This window comes from Homo sapiens, chromosome X, assembly GCF_000001405.40.
Source record: "Homo sapiens chromosome X, GRCh38.p14 Primary Assembly".
In the NCBI taxonomy this organism is placed as follows: Eukaryota; Metazoa; Chordata; class Mammalia; order Primates; family Hominidae; genus Homo; species Homo sapiens.
The window spans coordinates 138,332,849-138,338,776 of NC_000023.11; the positions used below are offsets into that span (position 1 = coordinate 138,332,849).

General features: G+C 38.2%; 2 annotated features.

Annotated features, from left to right (window-relative positions):
- Positions 498-1,327: an enhancer, noted in NCBI's record as "OCT4-NANOG-H3K27ac hESC enhancer chrX:137415505-137416334 (GRCh37/hg19 assembly coordinates)". NCBI's record gives its function as "activates a minimal SCP1, AML or CMV promoter by ChIP-STARR-seq in naive and primed H9 embryonic stem cells {active_cell/tissue: H9 hESC(naive and primed)}" and the evidence as "EXISTENCE:reporter gene assay evidence [ECO:0000049][PMID:30033119]".
- Positions 1,328-2,155: an enhancer, noted in NCBI's record as "NANOG-H3K27ac hESC enhancer chrX:137416335-137417162 (GRCh37/hg19 assembly coordinates)". NCBI's record gives its function as "activates a minimal SCP1, AML or CMV promoter by ChIP-STARR-seq in primed H9 embryonic stem cells {active_cell/tissue: H9 hESC(primed)}" and the evidence as "EXISTENCE:reporter gene assay evidence [ECO:0000049][PMID:30033119]".

Consider the following 5,928-nt stretch of genomic DNA (forward strand, 5'->3'; position numbering starts at 1 on the left):
GAATGCATGTGTCTTACCAAGTTCTCCATCATGCTAACCATCCCTTGCTGATGTGGCCCAATTAGCATGAAGTCATTGGCTTAAAGGATCTATGTGATTTTCTGCAGTATTTGCAGATGGTTCAGATCTCTTCAGACTACTTTATAACAAAGGGTCAGAGATTTAGCATAGCCCCATGGAAAAACTGAAAATGTGTGCTAATTTTCATCCTTGAGAACATGAACTGATTTTGATCCTCTTTGATTGGGATATACAAGAAAGAATTTGCCAAATTGGAGGCCACATATTAATCTCTTCTGACAGACATTTCATATCTAGCACAATGGCTGTAGTTTGAGCTATCACTTAAATGAATTTGTGGTAGTCTCTAGTTACTATCAGTATTTATTACATTTCTGTAGGGACTAAACTGGTGGATTAAATGGAGATATAATGGGAACTACCACCTCTGCATCTTTCAGGTCTTTAATAGTGGTGATAACTTCAGCTACTCCCCAAAAGTAATACTGGCTTGAATTTACTATCTTTGCCTGAGGTGACAGGGGGTGGAATGAGGCAGCTCTTATCTTATAGTCCAAGGACCCAAGTATGTGAGTTATTCCAAATGCCAAGTATGCCAATCCAATTATACATTTGAGTGTAGGGAAAAGAAAGAGAGATCAGATTGTTGCTGTGTCTGTGTAGAAAGAAGTAGACATAGGAGACTCCATTTTGTTGTGTACTAAGAGAAATTCTTCTGCCTTGAGATGCTGTTAATCTGTAACCTTACCCCCAACCCTGTGCTCCCTGAAACATGTGCTGTGTCAACTCAGGGTTAAATGGATTAAGGGCTGTGCAGGATGTGCTTTGTTAAACAAATGCTTGAAGGCAGCATGCTCGTTAAGGGTCATCACCACTCCCTAATCTCAAGTACCCAGGGACACAAACACTGCGGAAGGCCTCAGGGACCTCTGCGTAGGAAAGCCAGGTATTGTCCAAGGTTTCTCCCCATGTGATAGTCTGAAATATGGCCTCGTGGGAAGGGAAAGACCTGACCATCCCCCAGCCTGACACCCGTAAAGGGTCTGTGCTGAGGAGGATTAGTAAAAGAGGAAGGAACGCCTCTTTGCAGTTGAGACAAGAGGAAGGCATCTATCTCCTGCCCGTCCCTGGGCAATGGAATGCCTTGGTATAAAACCCGATTGTATGTCCCGTCTACTGAGATAGGGGAAAAACCGCCTTAGGGCTGGAGGTGGGACAGGCGGGCAGCAATACTGCTCTTTAAGGCATTGAGATGTTTATGTGTATGCATATCTAAAGCACAGCACTTAATTCTTTACCTTGTTCATGATGCAGAGACCTTTGTTCACGTGTTTATCTGCTGACCTTCTCTCCGCTATTATCCTATGACCCTGCCACATCCCCCTCTCCGAGAAACTCCCAAGAATGATCAATAAATACTAAGGAACTCAGAGGCCGGCGGGATCCTCCATATGCTGAACGCCGGTCCCCTGGGCCCCCTTTTTTCTTTCTCTATACTTTGTCTCTGTGTCTCTTTCTTTTCCAAGTCTCTCGTTCCACCTAACGAGAAACACCCATAGGTGTGAAGGGGCAACCCACCCCTTCATTTGAGACCAGGGAAGTAACCATTAGGTGGTTTCATGGACCCAGTAAATCCATAGTAAGCCAAACCTTGGCCAGATTTTTGTTTATTATCTGGCCTCCAATATGCCTCCACCCTAACAGAGGAGTCATAGCTTTTGCTTACATCCTGTTTCCCAGAATTGAGCCATATAGCTACTCCTAGCTGCAAGAAAAGTTGTGAATGTGAATATTTTAATATTATGAGTAGTTGGGCAAATTACCAACCCAAACACAATCTGAGCTCTGTAAGTAAGGAAAAAGTGGAAAATAGATGCTGTGTAGGTAGCTAGCTTGTCTGCAACAGCAATGCCTATTGGATCCAAGAGGTTTTTTTTTATATGCCATATTCCTTTTATACTTAAATAACCAGTTTAGGAAAATTAGAGCAATATTCATTATTATTCCATTTAAGGTAATGTTTACAAAATACTGAAGTCTCCTAGTGTTAGTGAGGTTATTCCCTTAAAATCAGTGCCTATGTGACTCTGAACAATGTCTGTCTCCAGCTTTCCATTGTTCCAGAATCACATTTTCCCCAAATTAATATGAATTGCTAAGAACATTTTCTATTTTGTTATATCTATAAGGGAGAGAGAGACAGCCAATTTTTTATTAGTCTCAAATTATATTCATCCCACTTTTTTGGTGGTAAAATTACCTCTTATGAAGTGACGATGATTATAACTTATAATTAAATAATAATTTATTTAATATCCTTATTTGGAAAAATTAATTTCCAAATATATATAACACCTGAACTTAACCCTTAAAAGTAAAGGAAAGATAATGCAGACCTCAAGTAAATTATCTTAATGTCAGATAATATACAAATGTCTGAGTCCAGAAGAACATAATAAAGTCTCCTTTACTTTCGATTTAACTGTATGTTTCAAATCATTTGAGGCACATCATAAAAATTGTCTCTTCTTTATCATTTTACCCGTGCCAAGTTTCCTAATGGACACAAGTTCTTCATTCTACTCTTTTAAATTACCCCACTTAATCAACTCTTTTCAATTGGAAGGAAACCTCTTCCTTTTAAAATCACCCTATCTCATTTCTTTCTCGTGTGGCCACTTAGATTTGGTGATTCTTCCTCTTGTCCTGTGAAAAAGGTTATCGAGCATTGAGTATTTTGATCCTTAGACACCTGATAGATTGCTTAGTATATTAGAAAAGGGGGAGGTTTAGATTCTGAAGGATAAATTGGAGAACTTTAAAAGAAGCTATTACCTTTCTCTGCCTTCAGGGTATAATATCTAAAAAAAAATCAGATATTGTACACTGCAAAGATCAAACTGCTCTTAGCACTTTCACTATGCATTATAAAGCTAAAATAATCTCTAGTTCTTTTTTAGCATGGAGGTACAGGACCAGAGAACAACTTTAGTTATTCTGGCCTAGATATGCTTTGTATCTCCAGAAGAAATGCAAGAAAAAAGAAAAAATATGTATCCCATTACACTTATATCACTCCCTGTCTCAAATTGATTTTTGAAATTTGGTGAGTATAGTGAACTCTAGGTGTACAATAGTAAAATTATAGCAGACTTGTACCATGTAGTTAAAATCATCTCTTACATCTAAATGCCACTTTAAAGTTAGTAAAGACCTGTTTTTATCCATTACTCCATTTGATTTTCTTTAATCTCTTATGAAGGTAACTGAGCAAGATAGTCATTAGTACTGATCACACATATTTAAGCTGTCTCTCCCCTTTGGCACATAGGAAGATTGCCCTTCTCTCTGCCTACTTCAAGTTAGGTGTAATCATATGACTTGCTTTGAAAGGTGAGCAGATGTGTCATTTCCAAGGAAAAGCATTGAGAGGCAGTCCATGCTTTTCCACATTTTTTTATTCCCTCTGTCAGGGCAACCGGCAATGCTAAGTCTGTGTCCCAGAGTGAGAATGAAAATTCAGAGCAAAGTCCCCAGACTACCCACAATGAACATATAGTGTGAATGAAAAATAAACCTTTTTGTTGTTTTAAGTCATTAAGACTTTGGAGTTATTCATTACAGCAGCATAAGCTTGCTTAACTTGCAAGATTGAAGTGGCTTTAATCTTAACAATATATTGTTTGTTTGCAAAGAATGGAAACCCATTCAAACTAGCTTGAGAAAAGTGGGCTACAAAGGTATCACATTAAACCCAAGTGTAGGAAACATGACCAAGCCTTGTGGAACCAACCACATATTTGATGATCTCTTTCTTCTCCTCTATTCTGTCTCTCTCTCTCTCTTTCTCTCTCTCTCTCTCTCTCTCTCTCTCTGTCTCTCTCTTGTCTGCCTGTCTCTTTCTCACTCTTACTTTCTCTTTCACACACACACAAACACCTTAAACCCCAAGTGCACATGATCGAATTTCTAGAAAAGAGAAGCTGATTGCCTAAGCTTGGATTAAGTGTCCTTCCCTGTATCATTCAGCTGTGACCAAAGCACAAGGTCATGTGGCAAGCAAGCTGCTCACTTTCTGCAATAGCCAAGGCATATTCCGTAAGAAGAGAGAATAGACAGAGTGAAATGATAGACATTTTTAGTCCACCAGTCAAAATTAGTTGGCTTCAGAGCCAGAAATAGAACTCAGGTGTTCCGACTTGTAGTTCAGGGCTTTTTATCTACCACACCGTTTGCTGAAGCTTCACACTTTTGTATTTGGAAGAAATGATTGGACCTAAACTCTATCTGAACCCATGTAATGATAACACTTTTTATAACAGGGCACTACTGTTATTTTCATTTAAAAAATATATATAGTGATGCAAAAATAGACTGGTATCTCATAGAAGATATCCAGCTTTCATTGGATAATAAGTCAAAACCTCCTTGAATTTATAATTCTATATTTATTGTGCCTTAGTTTGTTGTCTTCTTTCAATGTTTCTGTATTGAATGATCTTTGTCCTAAATCTATCTAAAAAAATACAAAAAAGTCTTTGATTTTCTTCTCAAAGTTTCAGAGTTAGATGTATTCTTTATCCAGATTTTTTGGGCTCAATTTTTATTTTCCCTAATTTAACATTAACTTTTTAACTATTAGTGTTCCTTAAAAAACCTTGTAACAGCATGAAAATCAACTTATAACTTGAGTAACTTGTATTTCTCCCAAATTAATAAATATGTTATTTTTATGTCATCTGTGATGTTACTCTCACTATATGCATGGTGTACATAAATTCAACATTTAATACTCAATAGCCTCTGAAGAATATTTGCACAATTTGAGCAAGCTACCATGCATTAAAAGAGCAGTGACAGGCCAGGAGTGGTGGCTCACACCTGTTATCCCAGCACTTTGGAAGGCTGAGGCGGGTGGATCACCTGAGGTCAGGAGTTTGAAACCAGCCTGGGCAACATGGTGAAACCCCATCTCTACTAAAAATACAAATAATTAGCTGGGCATGGGGGTGCCACGCCTGTAATCCCAGCTACTACGGAAGCTGAGGCAGGAGAATTGCTTGAACTCAGAAGGCGGAGGTTGCAGTAAGCTGAGATGCCACTACACTCCAGCCTGGATGACAGAGCAAGACTCCGTCTCAAGCAAACAAACAAAAGAGCAGTGACAGCTTGGTTACGGTTCTGTGAATTGAAATGCTAGGCTTCCCTTAGGGTTAGTTCCTCCATAAGAAAGATGATAATTCTTCTATCCTCTACAAAGAAGTAAAATATTTATCTTCTCTCTTCACTCTTCCCTGCCTCACCTATCACACACATTTCTGTACCTGATTATGGTGTTCTCCCTTGCCACTAATACTTGGGCCATGTTTCTGAAATCCAGAGCTTAAAGTTATCCAGAAAACTGCTTAATGTAAAGCTTGCTTAGGGTGCAGCATGCTGTAGTAGAAAAAGCTCAAACCAGACTTGAGAAAGCTAGATTCTAGTCCTAGCTTTGTTCTTTAAGAATGGCAAACTTTCTGCAAGTCATATACACTCTGAGCTTCCATTTCCTCATCTGGAAAAGATATATTATAAATACTGTTCTACTCACCTCTCAGGCACACTGAAGGCTCAAAGGAGATGTATGTGACAATTTGTTTAGAACTGAGAAAAAATATACTAATGTAATACACCATTAACAATATTTTCTATAAGAATCTCTATCTCTTACAGTCTCTCCGAAATTGACATTAGAAGAGAAAATTTAAGAATAATCTTAAATAGAAGACAAGCAATCCCTTATTTAACAACATCTGTGTCATAAATGTTTCATATATGTTGTTTGCCACAGTTCTTCCAACTGTTTCTGTCAATGTAAAAACAACTGGAAATTTCAGACAACCTAAAGTTTACAAATAGAAGAAGGCA